The 22,809-nt window shown below is 44.7% G+C and overlaps 1 protein-coding gene, 1 long non-coding RNA gene and 1 pseudogene across 14 annotated transcripts in view, besides 6 other annotated features; 2 read left to right on the forward strand and 1 right to left on the reverse strand.

Moving 5' to 3' along the window:
• The window catches only part of BFSP2 (beaded filament structural protein 2), a 75,153-nt gene extending 70,630 nt beyond the window's left edge, over positions 1-4,523 (forward strand). Inside the window, exons 6-7 of one of the 2 annotated variants that reach the window (NM_003571.4) lie at positions 1,660-1,880; positions 4,284-4,523. In NM_003571.4, coding sequence (NP_003562.1) covers positions 1,660-1,880; positions 4,284-4,287 — 225 coding nt within the window. In that variant the 3' untranslated portion in view covers positions 4,288-4,523. Of the gene's footprint in view, positions 1-1,659; positions 1,885-4,283 lie in introns of those variants that run through there. The other variant, XM_017007315.2, reaches the window with a different exon arrangement.
• Positions 1-20,424, reverse strand: part of BFSP2-AS1 (BFSP2 antisense RNA 1) — a 64,708-nt gene extending 44,284 nt beyond the window's left edge. For all 12 annotated transcript variants that reach the window (NR_189058.1, NR_189057.1, NR_189059.1 and 9 more), the window contains exon 1: positions 20,217-20,424. This is a non-coding gene — a long non-coding RNA (BFSP2 antisense RNA 1). The remainder of the gene's footprint in view (positions 1-20,216) is intronic.
• Positions 2,536-3,195: an enhancer, noted in NCBI's record as "OCT4-NANOG-H3K27ac hESC enhancer chr3:133192065-133192724 (GRCh37/hg19 assembly coordinates)". NCBI's record gives its function as "activates a minimal SCP1, AML or CMV promoter by ChIP-STARR-seq in primed H9 embryonic stem cells {active_cell/tissue: H9 hESC(primed)}" and the evidence as "EXISTENCE:reporter gene assay evidence [ECO:0000049][PMID:30033119]".
• Positions 4,779-4,848: an enhancer, noted in NCBI's record as "active region_20545". NCBI's record gives its function as "activates an Ori minimal core promoter by ATAC-STARR-seq in GM12878 lymphoblastoid cells {active_cell/tissue: GM12878}" and the evidence as "EXISTENCE:reporter gene assay evidence [ECO:0000049][PMID:35858748]".
• Positions 6,696-6,815: an enhancer, noted in NCBI's record as "active region_20546". NCBI's record gives its function as "activates an Ori minimal core promoter by ATAC-STARR-seq in GM12878 lymphoblastoid cells {active_cell/tissue: GM12878}" and the evidence as "EXISTENCE:reporter gene assay evidence [ECO:0000049][PMID:35858748]".
• Positions 16,694-17,194: an enhancer, noted in NCBI's record as "H3K4me1 hESC enhancer chr3:133206223-133206723 (GRCh37/hg19 assembly coordinates)". NCBI's record gives its function as "activates a minimal SCP1, AML or CMV promoter by ChIP-STARR-seq in naive H9 embryonic stem cells {active_cell/tissue: H9 hESC(naive)}" and the evidence as "EXISTENCE:reporter gene assay evidence [ECO:0000049][PMID:30033119]".
• Positions 18,346-18,395: an enhancer, noted in NCBI's record as "active region_20547". NCBI's record gives its function as "activates an Ori minimal core promoter by ATAC-STARR-seq in GM12878 lymphoblastoid cells {active_cell/tissue: GM12878}" and the evidence as "EXISTENCE:reporter gene assay evidence [ECO:0000049][PMID:35858748]".
• Positions 18,416-18,545: an enhancer, noted in NCBI's record as "active region_20548". NCBI's record gives its function as "activates an Ori minimal core promoter by ATAC-STARR-seq in GM12878 lymphoblastoid cells {active_cell/tissue: GM12878}" and the evidence as "EXISTENCE:reporter gene assay evidence [ECO:0000049][PMID:35858748]".
• MAF1P1 (MAF1 pseudogene 1) lies at positions 19,950-21,075 on the forward strand (annotated as a pseudogene).
• Positions 21,076-22,809: the final 1,734 nt, after the last annotated feature.

The raw sequence follows: 22,809 nt of genomic DNA on the forward strand, positions 1-22,809 counted from the left end.
CATACCAAGAACCTATTCTGTGCCAGGCCCTGACTTGTGTGCTGGGACTACAGAGACTTGGTTCCTTCCAAGTCTCACCATCTGGTGGAAAAGACGTGCCCATAAGCAAGCTTAGCCCACTGTGATAAGTTCAAGAGCATGCATGAGCTTGGGGAGCCATGGAAATACAGAGGGTCTCCTAACCCAGCTTGGTGATGGTAGCGGCAGAGGAGTTTCAAGGAAGGCTTCCTGGGGCAGGTTACCTCTAAGCTTGGACTTGGGGATGAGTAGGAGTGAGTGAGGTGAGGATGCTGGAAGGAATGGAGGAGCATGGTGCAGGTGGAGGAAAGAACACAGACCAAATAAACTCCAAGACTGGAAGTGTTGATGCTGCTGTAGGGTGGGGATAAAGATGGAAACATACTGGGCCAGCTGTGTGTGCCATATCAGGGGCCCTGGGGAGCCATCAATGGAGTTTAAGCAGAGGAGATACAGGCCCAGGTTTGGGCTTTGGACAGAGTACTGTGGCTATTTGTGTGTGGAACTCAGGAAGAGGAGGAACTAGAGGTGGGGAGATGAGCTAAGAGGCCACTGAGGGTACCACAGGTGAGAGGTGACAAGCTCCCAATCCCAGACCATGGTGGCTGCAGAATGTGAAAACTTCTCAAGAGATACAAGAAGCAGGACTCATAATATACAGGAGGCCATGATGGTTGCATTTGGAAGGAAGAGAAGGAAGGAAAGCAGGAACACATCTTTCCCTGGTTTCCAGCTCACATGGGTTCACCCGTTGAAGCATAGACTAGGGGGAGCCAGCAGGTTCAGGAGGCAGCCAGTGGCTTCATTTTGGACACCTTGATGTGAGGTCTGAGTATATGTTTCCAGTAAGAAGTTCAGTGGCAGGTCCATAGCTACTGAAGGAAAGATTGGTGGTGGAATTATCAACGCAGGACGTGGCCTGGAGACGACTCATGAGTATGTTCAAATCATGAGTATGATGGAGACCAACACAGACCCAGGATGCGCTCCTTGGAAAAAAAGCGGGCTCAGGGTGGGCACTGGGAAGCCCAAAGTGAAGGGACGGCAGAGGAAAAGGGATGGGCAAAAATGTGCTACTAAAACACCAAAGGGGAAAGCGCTGAGTATATAAAGGCCAGAGACATTCATTCTAAGGACAGTGATCTGGGAAAGAAAGCTGGAGGAGATGGTGTTCCAGCCAAATGATGGATGGGGTTTCAGCAGCAGAGGGAGAAGGGGTCCCCCGGGGAGTGAAGAAATCAGAAGAAAAAGCCCCGGAGAACAAGATTTCTTTGAAGAAACGCCTGCAAGCTGCCTCTCATTTGTCTCTCTCAATCCCTATCCCTCTTGCCCCGCTCCTCTCTCTCCTCACACCCCCTTTCTTTTCTCCCTCCCTCTCTCCTTCTCTTTTTCGCCTCCCTCACCCTCTCTCCCATCAAAAAGATCAATCAGACTAATCCACAGTCTGACCTGAGTGGGATTCCTTATTTTTCCCACGGAGCCACTAAGAATAACCCCCATCAGTCTCCATAACTGGCAAGGTCCCTGCCACGAGGGGAATAGTCCAGGCTACCACCAGCCCCTGCCACTGCTCTGCACACCTCCCTCTTCAAGGGCCCGGCCTGTTGTCCTCGGGTTTGGACCGGGTTCGCTCTTTTGTAGAAACGAGGCCTGGAGAACACCTTGCACGATGCCAAGCACTGGCATGACATGGAGCTCCAGAACCTGGGCGCTGTGGTCGGCCGGCTGGAGGCGGAGCTCAGGGAAATCCGAGCGGAGGCGGAGCAGCAGCAACAGGAGCGCGCGCATCTGCTGGCCCGCAAGTGCCAGCTGCAGAAGGACGTGGCGTCCTACCACGCCCTGCTGGACAGGGAGGAGAGCGGGTAAGCCTCGCTTCCGCGTCAATTATCCAAGAGATGCATATTCATGGCTTTAAAAATAATTATTTTCCAAACACTGTAGAAGTATTTAAGAAGAAATCACCCCAGACTTCCTCTCACATAGGCACCCATTCCCACAGCCTAGCTGTGTCCTTCCTTTCCTATTCACATACAAATAATATATATAATATATTCACATACTAATACATTTTCTATATGTATGCATATTTATGTATGTATATATACACACATACATTCACATACATGTGTATACCTAGGACGTACATAATAGCTGTTAGGAATGTTTCAGTTGCTTGTAATAGAACCTAATTAATGAGGCTATAAACCAGTGCTCCTGAAACTAATGTGCACTCAAAACCCTGCGCATCTTTTTTTTTTTTTTGGATACAGGGTCTCGTCTCGGTATGTTGCCCAGGCTGGTCTCGACTCAAACCCCTGGGCTCAAGTGATCCTCTCACCTAAGCCTCCAGAATAGCTGGGGTTACAGGTGTGAGCCGTGACACCCCAGCTGGGCATCTTTTTTAAATGCAGATTCTGCTTCAGTACGTCTGGGGTGGGGTCTGAGAGTCTTCCTTTCTAACAAGCTCCCAAGTGATGACTATACTGCTGCTCCACAGACTACACTCTGAGTAGCAAAGATGTGTAAATCATTTATTTAAGAGTCCCAGAAACAGGTGATCTAGGCTGCTCAAAGATTTCATTAAGGACTCAAGCTCTTTTCATCTTTCTAACATACCATGACAACATTGGCTTTTTGTCTTTATCTTTGTCACCCCATGGTTACCATATGCCAGCCACAGATCCAAACATCACATCCTCATTCCTGGCCGGAAGTGGGAGAGAAGAGGCAGCAGCAAAAAAAAAAAAAAAAAAAAAGGCTTTTTCTTTTTTTTTATTGATCATTCTTGGGTGTTTCTCGCAGAGGGGGATTTGGCAGGGTCATAGGACAATAGTGGAGGGAAGGTCAGCAGATAAACAAGTGAACAAAGGTCTCTGGTTTTCCTAGGCAGAGGACCCTGCGGCCTTCCGCAGTGTTTGTGTCCCTGGGTACTTGAGATTAGGGAGTGGTGATGACTCTTAACGAGCATGCTGCCTTCAAGCATCTGTTTAACAAAGCACATCTTGCACCGCCCTTAATCCATTTAACCCTGAGTGGACACAGCACATGTTTCAGAGAGCACAGGGTTGGGGGTAAGGTCACAGGTCAACAGGATCCCAAGGCAGAAGAATTTTTCTTAGTACAGAACAAAATGAAAAGTCAAAAGGCTTTTTCTTGAATGATCCTCTCCTTTAATCAGTGAAGGAAAGACATTTTGAGGCTTGCAGTGGACTGTCCCTTATATCTCATTGGCCAGAACCTGCTTATACTGGCCATACCCATCTGCAAGGGAGGCTAAGAAAGCAACTCTTTAGCTTTTCCAGACTCCATAGTGGAGGCAGGCAAGGGGTTGGGACTAGGAGTTGAGTTAGTCTGCCATAATTACACACACACACTTGCACTCACTCTTTTTTTAATAGATAAGGATTCCAGAGGCATATACATCAGCCTTGGGCCTTAGCTTCCTTGCCAACTCTTTCCAGAAACCCAGGCCCTTATTTTGTATCATAGTTCTATGCCTTCTTATTTCCCTCCAAGACTCCTTGTCTGACATATGTTGAATAAGGAATAGAGACAGCTTAGTGATTGTATCATCCAACCCCTCCTGATTCAAGAGAGAACACAAAGACCCAGAATGGAAAAAGATTTGCGCATGATCACACAGGAGGCGGAGACAGCACTGGGATGGGAGCCCAGGTCTCCTGCTCTCTCCAACTGTGTAACCTCTCTTTATTCAGAAGGCGGGAGAGCCTCAAGGAAGCGACCTAACCACGCCCTGCTTTCAAATGGAAAATATGTCATCCAGCTCCTCTCCAACTGTCTTTTATTGAATTGATTTTTGTTGATTATAAAAGCCAGATGTTCCTAACAAAGTATTTTTTTTTCAGATGCCTATGAGCATCTGTATAAACACACAAAGTCAATTTAAACAAACAGCAAGAGCAGTGAGTTAGGCCGAGTTACTTCTTAAGAATCTATGTGCTACGTTCATTTAGTGAGTGCCAAGGCAGACCTGACTCTTGATTATTTTTGTTTATCCTCCAAACCCTGCCAAGACAACCTCATGATCCGTGTTTTAGAGACAGGAAACAAAGCCTCAGAGAGCTTAAGTCATGGCCCAAGGTCTCACAGCAAATAACCATGGAGTAATTATTTAAAACCCAAAACTATCTTGTTCCAAAGGCCAGATTCTTTCATGAGATGGCCCCCTTTCTCGTAATCCTATTGTGATAGAATGACCGATTTTCCTCACCCATTGCTTCTGACTCCTATGTGTTTCCTTTCAGCTGATGGAGAAACTTCCTCTTTTTCATGAAGAAAACACCCTTCCTCAACAGCTGACCCAAGAAGTTGCTTGAGGAGCTTTCTCCTGAGCTCCAGTCCCTGCTGGATTCCCTGGTTAATTCAGCTTGAGCTGAAAAGCTTCCTGGAAGTGGAGAGGATCCTTCTGCTTTAATCTGAGTAGTCTGTAGCTTGAGCAATCTCCCTTGTCCTCCTTCAAATAAATGCTTTGTGCGCAGCGTCCAGTTTGCCCACCTTGTTCAACTCACTATAGGGTCGAGATGGATATCACTTTGTCTGTCTGGCCTTTGCTCACAGAGCTATGCTTGAAGGCTTCTGGAAGGATTCCCTTGAGTGTGACGCCATCTGCCTCCCTAGGGTCACCTGCTCTTGGGTTTGTCAACATAAAAGTGCTGCGGAGGCAAAAGCAGTGCTCATGGCATGCAGGATTGACGCAGTCTGGGACAAAAAACAACACTCTTGCTCGAGAGGGGATTAGTGTGGTGCTTTATCACATGTTTCATAATTACAGGCATCGTGGAGTATTCAGACCTCTTTAATATACTCTGCATGCATATTCATGTGCAGACACACACATTTCACTTGCTATTGGCAGAGCATCTCTCAATCAGTTAAAAGGGAACTTCAATCTAAGCCCAATCTAAACCCATTCAATCTAAGTGGGGGATTAATTACACTGTGGTTGCTCACCCCACTTACAGCCTCAGAATTTTCTTCCAGGGTCCTTTCTCCAGTTCTCTCAGGGCCTAAGCCAGCCAAATATAGTTCATGCATCTGCCACCTACCCAGGCAAGACTCTCTTGCCTTCTGATTAAAATTGAAACCACCACCTGTGTCCTACCACAGGTTCTCAGTGTCTCTAAAACTGAAAGGAAAAAAAAAAAAAAAAAAAGCCCAACTTTAATTTTGTCATTCCTCCCTCAAACTTCTGTTGGTCTACCTATCACACAGAATTACAGACCAAAATATCCAAGCTGAGTCTTTGTGTTTGTGAGCTGCTAATCCAGACAGGGGGATGTATCCAACACTGGTACATTTGAAAACCCCCATACCCGAGGGTCCAAATAACCAAGGCCCACACAAAGAAAAGAACATTTATTTATCCTTAAGGATTGCTTATAAGAGAAGCAAGGTGGCCAGGCGCGGTGGCTCATGCCTGTAATCCCAGCACTTTGGGAGGCCAAGGTGGGCAGATCACAAGGTCAGGAGTTCGAGACCAGCCTGGCGAATATGGTGAAACCCCGTCTCTACTAAAAATACAGACGTTAGCCAGGCTTGGTGGCGGGCGCCTGTAGTCCCAGCTACTCAGGGGGCTGAGGCAGAAGAATCGTTTGAACCCAGGAGGCGGAGGTTGCAGTGAGCCGAGATTGTGCCACTGCACTCCAGCCTGGGCAACAGAGCAAGACTATCACACAAAAAAAATAAATAAATAAAAGGCAAGATATATGGTATCCTGGTTGGAATTGCTACAACTGGTTTTCCTTTTTGGCCTGCAAGAGCAAAGGAATTGTATTAAAGATCACATGAGCAGAACCACTATTTACAATGTGCATAGCCCCTTGACATAGGTCAGTTTGTTGTTTGAGACATGGAAATAGGCAAGACACCCTAAAACTACATTTTAGCAAAGTATCCATCTCCATAGCTGCACACTATGGGGCTGCCCATAATTGAACCGCCTGGGTACAAGAGTCTTGCCAGAAAACAAAGTGGGTGGCTGGCCTTGCTATGTTGGATGCACAAGACACTGACGTCTGTTTCTTTTCTGTCTTTCTTGTTACTATTAATTTTTGGTCCCTCAGGCAAGACCTAAATTCCTAACCTAAATGTAGCTGGAGGCTTCAAAGGTGACAGTCCCCAAAAGGTCAGCCATCAAAAGGAGGTACTTCTATGACCGAATGGCCATGCAGTTTTTAGAACCTGGAAGTCGTTTCAGCCACTGGAAAGACGGGAGAATGTATCTGCGCATCCTCCTGAGTTTCCACCAGACAGCATGCTGTGCAGGGCTGCACACACTTGGTCTCCTCCGCACCATCATCTCAAAGAGCAGCTGCCGTAAATCATTCAGTTAATCACCCTTTGGCAGGGAGAGCCGTGGCAGACTGGTGCTTCCAGTTCCCAGCACAGGCTCTTGCTGTTTCTAATGAGGCTTCATTAACAGGTATGAGAAGGCACTGCTGGCCCCCCAACTCTGCCAGGGCCTCGTTTAAATCAGGCTTCCTCTCACAACATCCCAGTACAATTACGCTTTGGCAGTGGTTCACTGACAGGTGGCAGGGGAGGCTGCTGCTTGTATTGGTGTCAAGGACAGAGCATTTGTTCTGGAGCAGACCAGAGCAGGGCTCCCAATGGACACCTCCTGAAACACAACCGAGCTCTATTTCCACACCAGGCAACTCCACTGGCCTCTGGCCTAGCTTCTGAAGGGCTGTGTGAACTCCCAATGGGATTGCTAGAGCATCCATGGCTTTCAGATTCAACATTCTTTTATATCAAGATCCTTAAATCTTACCTTCATGATCATCTGTAACACTTCTTAGCATGTACTGGTGCCCAGACATTTTGATGCACTTTGGGGATACCAATAAAAAGAAGGCCCAGTTTCTGCCCTCATGGGTTTACAGCCTTGGTGAGTGCAGGTGTGCTCACTGAAGGATCAACAATGCAAAGGATAAGAAAAGCAAAGCAGACAGAGCAGCACATTACAGTTTTCACAACCCCTTCATAGATTCATTTTGTCATCAAAGGTATAAAAATAGACATCTGAGTCTGACCTCACTTGGTTTTCAGCAAGTTGATTTAGCAAGAACCATCAAGCACCATGCCTGTCTCTGATTGTCTCCACACACCCCATAGATATTATTTTATAAACCCTTACATTGTCTTGCTTGTTTTGAGAAAAGGATGGGTTGTTTCTTTGGAGACAAATCTAGAATCTTATCTGGGATTGCCAGACTTAGGAAATAAAAATATAGAATGCCCAGTTTAATTTAAATTTCAGATAAAAAAAGGAAGAGGTTTTTAGTATAAGTATGTCCCACATGTTGCATGAGACATACTTATGCTAAAACATTAGCTTGCAGCTGTAATAATATCAGACAGAAGCACTCCATACTTCGTATTCCCCACATAGTTATCTGACATCAAGCAATTCATAAAGGTTTGCCTAGCACTTCCAGTTGGGACATCCCAATACACAAGAAGGGGAAAGGATGACCCAGACTGTGTCTTTACCCATTCTTGATTGGAAACTCAGTCCCCTGACACAAAAGCACCATCGTGTTTGAGAAATTAGTCTGCTAGTTTAGTGAAGAACTAAAGCAAACTGTTTTCTCAGCTGAAGTAACTGGTTTGATTGGATCATATCGACTGGTTATTTTGAACAAAAGGTTGAGCAGGAACAGGAATAGATCCCAGCATAGACATGTGGTGTTGCAGAGTCGACAGAGTTTTTGCTATCATGCCCAAGAGGAAATATTCCATTTTCTCCTGCTCTGAGAGTGGAAGGTAATTTGCACCACAGGGAGTCCAGTTTTCAGTGTAATTCTGGGATTGGACCAAAAAACATGTTGCATCTTAAAGAAAGGGCTTTGCAAAATGGATGAGCAAAAACTACTAAATTTCTTTGGACAAGTCATGCATACCTTGTTTTTGTTTTGTTTTTATCTACAGCTAAAGTTCTTACTGACATCCTAGACAGGAAAAGTGTATAAATGGGGTTCACAACTTTAAACTAAAAAGACAAAGGCAAACCTGACAAGATGATTAAGACAAGTTGTCACTAACTCCCTGGATGATAATTAATGGTGTTGTGGTTGCTTTGAGAAGAAAACAAAAGGAGAGGGGACAGGAAATCAATAGACTAGTGGTAGGTTCAGCCCCTCATTGTTTAGTACCAGCAACCAAAAGAAAAGAAGCAAGAGAAACACGTAGGGTAATAAATTGTCCTGAGGAAGTGAAATAGTGGGTTTACACATTATTTTGGGAATTCAGTCTTAGCAGTTCACCAGAGCAACAATCATGCTGAGTAGTGGAAAGCTCCCTCCAAAACTAAATCCTTTTCCTCAATAAATATTTATGCAGTCCCTGTTATATGTCAATGCCATGTTAGAGGCCAAGAATATGAAGATGTACGAAATGTGAACCTGCCCTTAAATAATCTAGATTAGCACTGTCCAATAGAAACAGAATGCAAACTACATATGTAATTTTAATTTTTCTAATAGCCATATCTCAAAAAGGGAAAAATAAACAGGTGAAATTAATTTTAATATATTTTAATCATCTTGTTATGTCCAAAATTCTATTATTTCATAATGTAATCAATATTTTTAAATTATTGAGAGTTTTATATTTTTGGTACTAAGTTTGAAATCTGGCTTATGTTTTACCCTAATAGCCCATCTCAATTCACATACTAAATCTTCATCAGAAATACTTGAGCTATATTTAAATTTCATAAAATTTATAGTTGAAAAAGTAAATTGACGTACCCAAGCTGTTCCAAACATACTTAAAAGTTTTCCAATAACTGAATTTAAGATCACAAGATTTGTTTTCCTTTGATCTTCATATCCACATTGACATAAAGTGGTTCATCTTTTTCAGAAGAGTTCGTGTGACTTTGAAGCAAAAGCACATCAGTTTCAAAACCACACCTGTCTAAGTTAAGTAAATTCATTAAGTCTTGCATCTCATTCAGTATTTATTAACATCATGTTCAAGGAGGTATTACATATATTGAGAATCAACTCTAAATGTATCAACATAAAAAATCCCATTTCAAATTTTTCTTATAAGTTTTCAGGACAAATATTTTACACAGCTTAAGATTTTAATTAAATTTTTAATTAATTAAAATTAAATAACACTTAAAATTCAGTTCTTCCGTCACACTAGTCATATTTCAAGAGCTCAATAGCCACATGTGGCCAGTGGCTACCACAATGGACAGCATAGATTAAAGTTGACTAGAGGTGGGTGGGATCTACAATGGATTTGACCAGCTTGTGAAAACAATCGAGGTCATATTTGCACGATAATTTGTGAGAAGTCCTGCTTTCCCACCAATTTTCCTCACCAAATACAACTGAAATTCCTGGCAGGTGAGCGTCCCACCTAGAAACAGAGTGGCTACATTCCAACAGTTTTATAGGCCTCCTAATTGGCCCACGTAATCCTTCTACTGCTGAAATTCCTGGCAGGTGAGCGTCCCACCTAGAAACAGAGTGGCTACATTCCAACAGTTTTATAGGCCTCCTAATTGGCCCACGTAATCCTTCTACTGCACTGCACTGCTTCTCATAACTAGCTCTTTTGGAGGGAGTTTCCTCTACCAGAGACCTTGAGCCTCCCCTGACACAGGCCTTTTGTTTTCTTTCATACCCCTCTCCTTTCCTTAATCTCCTAACCACATAAGCCCTGGGAGAAGTGAGCTGAATCAAAGAGGCCAGCACGGCCTAACAGCCAGCCCCCACCTGCTCAGTCAGACTATTCTGCCAGTCTCTTCTCTCCCTCATGGTGATTTTCTCTCCAAGGTCTCATAGGCTGTCTCTCAATCTAGCTTCAGGACCCACCTCAAATTACATCAGTTCTTCTGACAGCTCTGAACCCTATCTCTGGGCTGAATTCTCATTCCTGTTTCAGCCCCATGCAAATCAAGGCAAGTGACCAGGCATCTGTTTCAACATCCCCAGACACTTTCTGAGCTTTTTTTAAACATCATACACAAATCACTCAATATAATCCATCACATAAACAGAACCAATGACAAAAACCACATGATTATCTCAATAGATGCAGAAAAGGCCTTTGACAAAATTCAACACCCCTTCACGCTAAAAACTCTCAATAAACTAGGTATTGATGGAATGTATCTCAAAAAAATAAGAGCTATTTATGACAAACCCACAACCAATATCATTCTGAATGGGCAAAAACTGGAAGCATTCCCTTTGAAAACCGGCACAAGACAAGGATGCCCTCTCTCACCACTCCTATTCAACATAGTGTTGGAAGTTCTGGCCAGGGCAATCAGACAAGAGGAAGAAATAAAGGGTATTCAATTAGGAAAAGAGGAAGTCAAATTGTCCCTGTTTGCAGATGACATGATTGTATATTTAGAAAACCCCATCGTCTCAGCCCAAAATCTCCTCAAGCTGATAAGCAACTTCAGCAAAGTCTCAGGATACAAAATCAATGTGCAAAAATCACAAGCATTCCTATACACCAATAAAGAGAAACAGAGAGCCAAATCATGAGTGAACTCCCATTCACAATTGCTACAAAGAGAATAAAATACCTAGGAATCCAACTTATAAGGGATGTGAAGGATCTCTTCAAGGAGAACTACAAACCACTGCTCAATGAAATAAAAGAGGACACAAACAAATGGAAGAACATTCCATGCTCATATATAGGAAGAATCAATATCGTGAAAATGGCCATACTGCCCAAGGTAATTTATAGATTCAATGCCATCCCCATCAAGCTACCAATGACTTTCTTCACAGAATTGCAAAAAGCTACTTTAAAGTTCATATGGAACCAAAAAAGAGCCTGCATTGCCAAGACAATCAAAAAGAACAAAGCTAGAGGCATCACGCTACCTGACTTCAAACTGTACTACAAGTCTACAGTAACCAAAACAGCATGGCACTGGTACCAAAACAGATATATAGACCAATGGAACACAACAAAGGCCTCAGAAATAACACCACACATCTACAACCATCTGATGTTTGACAAACCTGACAAAAAGAAGAAATGGGGAAAGGATTCCCTGTTGAATAAATGGTGCTGGGAAAACTGGCTAGCCATATGCAGTAAGCTGAAACTGGATCCCTTCCTTACACCTTATACAAAAATTAATTCAAGATGGATTAAAGACTTAAATGTTAGACCTAAAACCATAAAAACCCTAGAAGAAAACCTACACAATACCATTCAGGACATAGGCATGGGCAAGGACTTCATGACTAAAACACCAAAAGCAATGGCAACAAAAGCCAAAATTGACAAATGGGATCTAATTGAACTAAAGAGCTTCTGCATGGCAAAAGAAACTACCACCAAAGTGAACAGGCAACCTACAGAATGGGAGAAAAGTTTTGCAATCTACCCATCTGATAAAGGGCTAATATCCAGAATCTACAAAGGACTTAAACAAATTTACAAGAAAAAACAAACAACCCCATCAAAAAGTGGGCAAAGGATATGAACAGACACTTCTCAAAAGAAGACATTTATGCAGCCAACAGACACATGAAAAAATGTTCATCATCACTAGTCATCAGAGAAATGCAAATCAAAACCACAATGAGATACCATCTCACACCAGTTAGAATGGCGATCATTAAAAAGTCAGGAAACAACAGATGCTGGAGAGGATGTGGATAAATAGGAATGCTTTTACACTGTTGGGAGTGTAAATCAGTTCAACCATTGTGGAAGACAGTGTGGCAATTCCTCAAGGATCTAGAACTAGAACTACTATTTGATCCAGCGATCCCATTACTGGGTATATACCCAAAGGATTATAAATCATGCTACTGTAAAGACACATGCACACGTATGTTTATTGCAGCACTATTCACAATAGCAAAGACTTGGAACCAACCCAAATGTCCATCAATGATAGACTGGATAAAGAAAATGTGGCACATATGCCATGGAATACTATGCAGCCATAAAAAAGGATGAGTTCATGTCCTTTGCAGAGACATGGATGAAGCTGGAAACCATCATTCTCAGCAAACTATCACAAAGACAGAAAACCAAACGCTTCATGTTCTCACTCATAGGTGGGAACTGAACAATGAGAACACTTGGACACAGGGCGGGGAACATCACACACCAGGACCTGTTGGGGTGGGGGGCGCTGGGGGAGGGATAGCATCAGGAGAAATACCTAATGTAAATGACGAGTTGATGGGTGCGCAAACCAACATGGCACATGTATACCTATGTAACAAACCTGCACATTGTGCACATGTACCCTAGAACTTAATTTTAAAAAATTGTTTTAATTGAGGTAAAATACACATACATAATTTACCATCTTTACCATTTTTTTTCTTTTTTTTTTTTTTTTTTTTTTTGAGACGGAGTCTCGCCCCGTCGCCCAGGCTGGAGTGCGGTGGCGCCATCTCGGCTCACTGCAAGCTCTGCCTCACTGGTTCAAGCCATTCTCCTGCCTCAGCCTCCTGAGTAGCCGGGACTACAGGCGCCCTCCACCACACCGGCTAATTTTTTGTATTTTTAGTAGAGAGAGGGTTTCACTGTGTTAGCCAGGATGGTCTCGATCTCCTGACCTCATGATCCACCCATCTTGGCCTCCCAAAGTGCTGGAATTACAAGCATGAGCCACCACACCCGGCCCCATCTTTATCATTTTTAAGTGTATACTTCAGTGGTAATAAATACATTTGTATTCTCTTTTTTTCCCTTCATTCCCCTTCTCCTGTACCCTTCTTGGTCTCTGGTAACCACCAGTCTATTCTCTATCTTCATGAGACCCATAGTTTTAGCTCCCACATATGAGTGAGAACATGACATGTTTGTCTTTCTGTGCCTGGCTTATTTTACTTAACATAATTTCTTCCACTTCCATCCACGTTGTTGCAAATGACAGGATTTCATTCTTATTATGGCTGAATAATATTCCATTGCATATATACCACATTTTCTTTATCCATTCATCCACTGATGGGCACTTAAGTTGACTACATATTTTGGAAGGTTTTTTTTGTTTTTTTTTTTTTGAGATAGAGTGGCACTTTGTTGCCCAGGCTGGAGTGCAGTGGTATGATCTCAGCTCACTGCAACCTCCGCCTCCCAGGTTCAAGCAATTCTCCTGCCTCAGCCTCCCATGTAGCTGGGAGGTGTGTGCCACCATGCCCAGTTAATTTTTGTATTTTTAGTGGACCCGGGGTTTCACCATGCTGGCCAGGCTGGTCTCGAACTCCTGACCTCAAGTGATCCGTCTGCCTTGGCCTCCTAAAGTGCTGAGATTACAAGCATGTGCCACCAACCCAGCCTGACTACATATTTTGACTAATGTGAATGATACTATAATAAACAGAGTGCATATATCTCTTCAATACACTGATTCCCTTCCGTTGGGGTATATATCTCTAGCAGTGGAATTGCTGGATCAAATTTTAGTTTTTTGAAGAACTTTCATACTGTTCTCCATAATGGCTGTACTAATTTACATTCCCACAAGCAGTGTACCAAGGTTCCCCTGTGTCCACATCCTCTCCAGCATTTGTTATTGCCTGTCTTTTTGATACAAGCTTTTAACTGGGGTAAGGTGATATCTCATTGTGGTTTTGATTTGCATTTCCCTGATGATTAGTGATGTTGAGTATTTTTTCATATACCTGTTGGCTATTTGTATGTATACTTCTGAGAAATATCTATTCAGATCTTTTGCCTATTTTTAAATTGGATGATTTGTGTTTCTGCTATTGAGTTGTTTGAGCTCCTTATATATTCCTGTTGTTAATCCCTTGTCAGATGGATGGTTTGCAAATATTTTCTCCCATTCTGTGGGCTGTCTCTTCACTTTGTTAATTGTTTCCTTTGCTGTGCTTTTTAGCTTCATGAAATCCCAATTGTCTATTTTTGCTTTGGTTGCCTGTGCTTTGGAAGTCTTACACAAAAAATATTTGCCCAGCTCAATGTCCTGGAACATTTCCCAGTGTTTTCTTCTAGTACTTTCATAGCTTTAGGTCTTTCATTTAAGTCTTTAAACCATCTGATTTTATTTTTGTTTATGGTAAGAGACAGTGGTCTAGTTTCATTCTTCTGCATATAATTAGCCAGTTTTCCCAGCACCATTTATTGAAGAAGCTGTCCTCACTCTATTGTGTATTCTTAGTGCCTTTGTTAAAGATGAGTTGGTTGTAAATGAATTGATTTATATCTTGGTTCTCTATTCTGTTCTATTGATTTGTGTGTCTGCTTTTTTGCCAGTGCCATGCTGTTTTGATTACTATAGCTTTGTAGTGAATTTTGAAGTCAGGTAGTGTGATGCCTCCAGCTTTGTTCTTTTTGCTCACTATTGCCTTGGTTATTTGGGGTCTTTTGTGGTTTCATATATATTTTAGGCTTTTTTTCTATTTCTGTGAAGAATGTTATTGCTATTCTGATAGGGATTTCATTAAACCTGTAAATTGCTTTGGGTAGTACTGTTATTTTAACAATATTAATTCTTCCAATCCATTAGCATGGAATATCTTTCCATTTTTTTGTGTCCTCTCCTATTTTTTTCAGAGTTTTATAGTCTTCCTTATATAGATCTTTTACTTTGTTAGACTGATTTCTAGATATTTTATATTTTTGTACCTTGTAAATGGGATTGCTTTCTTGATTTCTGTTTCAGATTGTTTGCTGTTGGTGTATATAAATGCTACTGATTTTTGTGTGTTAATTTTGTATCCTGCAACTTTGCTGAATTTGTTTATCAGTTCCAGTAGTTTTTTGGTGGGGCCTTTAGGTATTTCTAGGTATAAAATCAAGTCATCTATGAACAAGACCAATTTGATTTATTTCTTTCCAGTTTGGATGCCCTTTAGTTTATGTTCTTGCCTAATTGCTCTGGCCAGGACTTCCAGTGTTATGTTGAATAACCATACTAAAAGTGGGCATCCAGCCAGGCACAGTGGCTCACACCTTTAATACCAGCAGTTTGGGAGGCTAAGGCAGGAGGATCATTTGAGCACAGGAGTTTGAGACCAGCCTGGGCAACATAAGGAGACCCCATCTCTATAAAATAAAATTTAAAAAAATTAGCTGGATGTGGTGTATCACACCTGTGATCCCAGCTACTTGTGTGTCACAGGATCCTTGGGGCATTGCTTTTCTCCCATCCAAGTATTAACCAGGCCTGACCCTGCTTAGCTTCCAAGACCAGACAAGATCAGGCCCCTGGCCGGGCGCCGTGGCTCACGCCTGTAATCCCAGCACTTTGGGAGGCCGAGGCGGGCGGATCACGAGGTCAGGAGATCGAGACCATCCTGGCTAACACGGTGAAACCCCGTCTCTACTAAAAATACAAAAAAATTAGCCGGGTGCAGTGGTGAGCGCCTGTAGTCCCAGCTACTCGGGAGGCTGAGGCAGGAGAATGGCGTGAACCTGGGAGGCGGAGCTTGCAGTGAGCCGAGATCGCGCCACTGCACTCCAGCCTAGGCGACAGAGAGAGACTCCGTCTCAAAAAAAAAAAAAAAAAAAAAAAAAAAAAGATCAGGCCCCTTCAGGGTTGTACGCCCATAGATGGGGTGTCACTTTTCTGGCCAGAAATCTCTGTGGTCAGTGGCATCTTTGCTCAAGCTTTGCTCAGGCCCGCTGGGCTCATACCACCTATTCAGCCTGGCAGGCTGTGCTCAGCTCACGCAACTGGCCTGATTCCCATTCCAGCCAAGGGTGAGCCAGGCATGGAGTGGCAAGGGGTGTGTGAGCAAGCAAGTGTGGGGTCTGGCCACTTCTCACAGCCAGGCACACTGGCTGTGGTGGGGTGGGCAGCTCCAGGTGCTGGCACAGGTGCTGGCTCCCTGCGAGTCTGCAGCTGGACCAGGCATACTGCAAGCAGCTTCTACAGCTGTCATCAGGAAACGCTGTGGTGCCCAGAAGCTTGGAGATGCCAGTAACTGCAGAGCCCCAAATAGGGTGTCACAGCCCTGGTTCGGGGAGCTCCTAGGTCTGGGCTCCCCAAAGGGCCACAGCTCTTCTCTCCTTCTCTCTTTTCTCCTTCTTATCACCTGCAATGTGGTGAGCAATGGGTGTGTTTCAGCCCTGTTTGTGTTACAGCTCTTTCAGCCCTGGTACCCCAAGTCCCACGTCCAGGAAGAATGAGGTATGCGGGCAAGTGGAGGGTGAGCAAGGCAAAATGGTGTTTTACTGAGCCACAGAACAGCTCAGAGGAGACCCACAGTGGGTAGCTCTTCTCTGAAGGCAGGTCATCCTGATGAGAGTCCAGCTCTCAGCAGAGAGGAGACCCACAGTGGGTAGCTCCTCTCCGCAGGCAGATCATCTTGATGTCTGCCGAAGTCTGGCTGAGTCCAGGGTTTTTATGGTCTTCAAAGGGGAGGAATGATCAGCAATGCACGCTGATTGGCCTATGGGCGGCCATGGGTGGGGAGAGGCTGGGCAGCAGAAGCAGGCATTTCCAAGCCTGTGAGGGCTTCCCTGGCCCCCAAGACTGCAGGAATGCCCGAGTCTGCAGCCACAGCTGGGCAGCCTCACTTTGCTCCACAATCATAGTGGGTGCCAGGAGCAGAGAGAGGCCAGGCAGCAGGAGCAGGCATTCCCAAGCCTATGGGGCCATGGGGGACTTCCTGGCCCCCGAGAGTGCAGGAATGCCTAGGTCTGCAGGGCAGCTGGGCAGTTGCAGCTGCACCTGGGAGGGTGGGGCTCCTGTCTCTCCAACCAGGAATGAGTCCTGGCTTCCTCCTGTTCCCAGCTTCCACCGGCTCCTGCCAGCTTCCACCGGCTCTTGCCAGCTTCCTGGAGTACACAGCCCTGGTGTGCCTCCCCTACTGCAGCCAGCGTCTTTGCAGCAGCTGCTCCAGATAAGCTGCCACTGCCATCACTTGGAAGGTTGAGGTGGGAGAGATTGCTTGAGCCCAGGAAGTGGGGACTGTAGGGAGCCATGATCATGCCATTACACTCCAGCCTGGGTGACAGATCGAGATCCTGTTTTTAAAAATATAAATAAGGCCAGACACGGTGGCTCACGCCTGTAATCCCAGCACTTTGGGAGGTCGAGACTGGTGGATCACAAGGTCAGGAGTTCGAGAACAGCCTGGCCAACATGGTAAAACCCCGTCTCTACTTAAAATCTAAAAATTAGCCAGGTGTAGTGGCAGGCGCCTGTCATCCCAGCTACACAGGAGGCTGAGGCAGGAGAATTGCTTGAACCCTGGAGGTGGAGGTTGCAGTGAGCTGAGACTGCACCACTGCACTCCAGCCTGGGGAACAGAGCAAGACTCTGTCTCAAAAATAATAATAATAAAAAATAAATAATAAATAAAAGTGAGCATCCTTCCTGATTTTTAAGAAACTCCCTGTCAGTAATTGTTAGGGGGCTAATCTTCTCAGGTTACAAGACAGACCTCTAGGGGGCAGTGTTGTCCAAACTCCACAGGCCAGCCTGCTGGTCTCAGGGGGACCCATCTTGAGTACCCTATTATGTACTATGTTCATGGAACCTAAGGCATCATTGATTAATAGAGATACCATTACTGGATGTGCCACTAAAAATGAAACTACTCCAGATAGAAGTCTATTAGACCCCAGATAAAGCTGAGACACTAAAGGCCTCTGTGGAGGGGGTCCATGAGAAATATACAGAAAAAAGAGAAAGAAAGGGACATGCATAGTAGGACAGCAAGAGAAGTTGCATGTTTCAATTTTGCCATGGATGGAGGAAGTAAAATCTGCCCGTATAATTTGAATCAAAAGTTGGTTCTCATGCAGTTTTCTGGTACTACTTGTGCCATCAAAAAAACCTCAGAGAATTTAATGTACAAATGCACCTCAACTTATGATGATGTTATGTCCTGATAAACCATCATAAGGTGACTATATCATAAGTCAACTTTATCCAGTTGTAAGTTGAGAAGCACACTGAATGCATATTGTTTTCACACTATCACAAAGTTGGAAAATCATAAGCTGAAACATCGTAAAGTTAGGGACCACCTGTAGTTTCACATTATTATGAGTTCCTTGGCAAGGGTAGAACCCAAAGCTTATATAATTTGATGCCCTCTTTTAAAAAAGAAATACAAAATATCTTACTCTTGCAAATTTTATAAAAACCTATGATGAGGCTGAGTGTGGTGGTTCACATCTGTGATCCCAGCGCTTTGGGAGGCTGAGACAGGCAGATCACTTGAGGCCAGGAATTTGAGACCATCCTGGCCAACATGGCAAAACTGCATCTCTCTACTAAAAATACAAAGAAAATTAGCTGGGTGTGGTGGCACGTGCCTCAGCTACTCTGGAGTCTGAAGCATGGGAATCACTTCAACTTGGGAGGCAGAGTTTGCAGTGAGCTGAGATAGCAACACTGCACTCCAACCTGGGCAACAGATTGAGACTGTCTCAGAAAAAAAATATGTAATTTGATCCCATGAAGCTGTGAGGTGGAACCCTTTCAGGACCTTGGAAGGGCCATGCAAATGAGGTGTCCTGAAGCTTTACTCTCATTGGTAACTCAGCCTGTGCCCCAAGTGACAGGCAGAAGCAAAGAAAAATCCTCTACAAATGAACACAATTTTAATCGAAACAACAGCAATCACAACATACCATCAACTATTATCATATCCTGACTTCAGAGATGTTAAAGTACACAACAGTATGCTTCTTAGGAGCAATGAAATATGATATTTCAAAAAGAAAAAAGATAATGTAAATTTTGACCCTGACTTGGCTAAGACAATAACACATGACAACAACAATGATGATAGCTATCATTTATCAAGCTCCTACAGTGTGCCAGCCTTCTCACAAACTTTTTTTCTGCTCCTCACATGAGCTTAATGCCACCACCAAAGACTTGAAAGATACAAGGTAGTGATTCCTACCAAATCCACAATTAACTCACTTGTTTGATCAGTGTACAAATCAAGTAGGTCATAGAAAATGACCACAGATCATCACGGACTAATCCAGTGGTGAGGTGAATCACAACCAGAATTGCAGAGACGGTATTTTTACTGGAGCAAATCCACACAGTCCCTGGCACCTGGGCCACTATTGACCTGGCAAATGCTTTATCCTGCCCACCCCCACCTTAATCCTCTTCTGCCCTGTTGTGGCAGGGACAGCAGTATACTTTTACTGTCCTGCCTCCGGGCTATGTCGGCTTGCCTGCACTTAGTCAGAATGCAATCTGGAGGGACCCAGAAGCCCAAGCTGATCCATTACATATCTTTATCATGCTAATTGGACCTGGAGAGCCCCAAAGAGCTAGCACCTAAATGCCTTAGTAAAGTACCTGCAATGCCAGAAAATGGGAGATAAAGCCTGACAATATTCAGGAGTCTGCCACATGCGTGAAGCCTCTAGAGTCCAGTGGTCTGGGCTTTGTTGGGATAGACCTTCTAACATGAGATTCAAGTTGTACTTTACACCAGAAAGAGCCATGAAGAAAAAGATATGAAGCTTAATTTTCAGAAGTAACACAAACCAGATTTGAGTATCTGTTGCTGTGAACCACTAACTCAAGTAACCCTTAAGGGTACAAGGTTTTTGGCTTTTGTTTTTGAATTTTTATTTTAACATAATTTCAGGCTTACAGAGCAGTTGAAAGAATAGTTGAAGAATTGCCATATACCCTTCACTCAGATTTCACAAATATTAACATTTTCATAGGCAGACAGAAGCAAATTATTTTTAAGTTGAAGTAGTTAAGTTTCTTTTATACTTATTTAGTTCTAGGAATTTTGACTGATAGACATTGACTGGTGGGGGAGGTGGAGGTTGCTGGCTGACCAAGGTGATCTGTGGTGGTTGGTGGCATGTTGGTGGCTAAAGCAGGCAATGTGCAGTGTGGTAAGGATGTGTCATAGTGACCACCTGGATGAGCCAGCAGGGCCAGGTATAATGAAACATTGCCATGGAGTTTCTTCCCCCAGATACAGTGTGGCCCAGGTGGATGCCACGGTGCCACCCTCTGGTGCTGAGGAGCCCACACTGTGCGGAGCCTGCCCTGCCTATGCACCGGTGCCGATGACCCAGCCAGGCCTGATTTAGCCCCACCAGGCAGGCAGCAATGGCCCCTCTCAAGCATGGAGCTCCCTCCCTGAGACAGGAAGCTATTGGAGAACTGGGCTTTGAAGCCATCAACTCACAGCTAACTGTAGAGAGCAAAGATACCCACATTATCAGCAGGATTGAGAGCTACTCACGTAAGATAGCAGGAGACGACAAACACTGTTCTGACAGGAGGGCGGCCCACATACTGAAGGCTCTCTCCCCATCCCAGACCTCAGGCCTCAGCCCCAGCAGCCTGAGCAAGAACCAAGGTGGCAAGGACAAGGGCCCCCCTCAGGGACAAGTGCAATTGCAAGACCCTCTTCCACTTGATTGTCATGCTCAGCGAGTCCTTTCAGGCCTGACTATGACCTCAGCACAGCCCGCAGCCATGGGTTCAGCCGGAAGCCCAGCCTCAGGTGGGTGGTGAATGCAGTCAACCGCAGTCTGTTCTCAGCTGCGTGGGGGGACATCAAGGTCCTAGAACACAGCTGTGGAACACAGTGGATGAGGAGATCCACCTGGCTTAATGAGACACCCACAGCTATAACCCAGACATGGACCCAGATGCCTTCAGAGAAGAAGATACCCTCTGGTCCTTCAACTACTTCTTCTACAACAAAGGGCTCAAGCAAATTGTTTTCTTCAGCCACCGCTCCATTAGCAGCTCCACCTGCACACCCTCAGAGGCAGGCAACGAGATGGACCTGGAACTGGGGGAAGAGGAGGAAGAGAAAGGAAGCAGAGGTGGAGGCAGTGAGGGTGGGGCCGAAGAGACCAGACCAAGGAGGACAGGTTCCCAGTGATTTGTATGTGATGAGGAGTAGCACAGGCCCCAGCTTCATCCAGCTTCAACCAATGCCTGGACCTGCCCACCTGAGAGGCCCTGAGGCCTCCCCAGCTGCAGGCCAGACCCTGGTGCTGTCAGAGTCTCAGCACTGCCCAAGGCCACACCTGCCTGGCCCTTTGGCTCCAGCCTGTAGGTGTCCACTCAACCCCATAGGCTTCTGCTGCCCACGCTGTGGCTGGACTAGACAGCACAGGACCTGCTGCAAAGAGTAACCACCTTGCCCAAACGAACTACCACAGGCAGGGACAGCTAGACCACAGAGTTTATTTTTGTATTTCTGCTGGGCCTGCACACTCCAGCCCAAAGGGCTTATAGCCAGAGGCCCCAGAGGTCATGAGCTCTAGTCTTGGGTCAGCTCTTGGCACCCACCTGTACCCCCACCTCACCCATTTGGCTGCATGCACTGAGTGTCACTTTGCTGCAGCTCATTGCTTTCCAATAAAAATGTTTGTGACTTAAAAAAAATTGAGACAAAAATTTAAAAATTTTATAACATGCTCATGAATGCTGGCAACCTCACCTCCACCAGCACCCCACCCCAGCTGCCACCACCGCCAGTACAAGTGCAACACCAGCAACCCCACGGCTGCCAGTGCCCCAGCCCCCATTTTCCCCCCTACCAATGCACCACCACCACCACTGGCATGAGCACATGCAGGAACACCGCCTCCCCATTTCTGCTGGAACCCCTCCCCAGCTAACACGTGTGCACCCCGCCATGCTGCTGCAGCTGCTGCCATACATCAGTAAGCACAGATCTCACTGACACCACCCTGACCAAGTGCTTTGGCTAGCATCTTCCATCACAGTGCTGTGGCCAGCAGACTGGGAACAACTCAGCCCCTCCAGCAGAATAGATTCCTAACCTTGAGGGTTCAGATAGCACAGCCAGGCGCCCAGCACCAGCCCTCCCAGAGTTAGAGCACGCAGCCCAGGAGTGCTGAGCTGAGTCTGGGCCCCCTAAAATCTTCCAGAAATGAAGCAAGTCAACCAAACCCACCATATACCACAATCAAACCAAGATCATCAAAGAAGATAAAAGCAGAAAACCTCTCCAAAGCACATCAACTTCAAAAATTGAAGGAACATCAGCCCACACAGATGAGAAAGAACTAGTGTGAGAACTCTGGCAACTCAAAAACCAGAGTGTCTTCTTACCTCCAAACCACCACACTAATTCTCTAGCAATCGTCCCTAGCCAGCCTGAAATGGCTGAAATGACAGACATAGAATTCAGAAAATGGATAGGAATGAAGATCATTGAGATTCAGGAGAAAGTTGCAACCCCATCCAAGGAATCAATAAGATGCTACAGGAGATGAAGGATGAAATGGCTATTTTAAGAAAAAAATAAACTGATCCGATAGACCTAAAAAACTCACTTCAAGAATTTAGTAATACAATCTCAAGTATTAATAGTAGAATAGACCAAACTGAGGAAACACTCTCAGAGCTTGAAGACCGTTCTCCAAAATAACTCAGTCAGACAAAAATAAAGAAAAAAAGAATTTAAAAGTATGAATAAAACCTCCGAGAAATACAGGTTATGTAAAGAGACCAGATCTACAGTTCACTGGCATCCCTGAAAGAGAAGGAGAGAAAGCAAGCTACTTGGAAAACATATTTGAGGATATTGCCGGTGAATATTTCCCCAACCTTGCTAGAGGCCAACATTCAAAGGCAGGAAATGCAGAGAACCCCTGCCAGACGCTATAAAAGATCACTATCCCCAAGACACATAGTCATCAGATTCTGTAAGGTCGAAATAAAGAAAAAGTTTTAAAGGCAGCTAGAGAGAAACAGCAGGTCACCTACAAAGGAAACACCATTAGGCTAACAGCAGGCCTTTCAGTAGAAACTATACAACCAGAAAAGATGGGGGGGGCCTATATTCAGCA

This window comes from Homo sapiens, chromosome 3, assembly GCF_000001405.40.
Source record: "Homo sapiens chromosome 3, GRCh38.p14 Primary Assembly".
Taxonomy (NCBI): domain Eukaryota; kingdom Metazoa; phylum Chordata; class Mammalia; order Primates; family Hominidae; genus Homo; species Homo sapiens.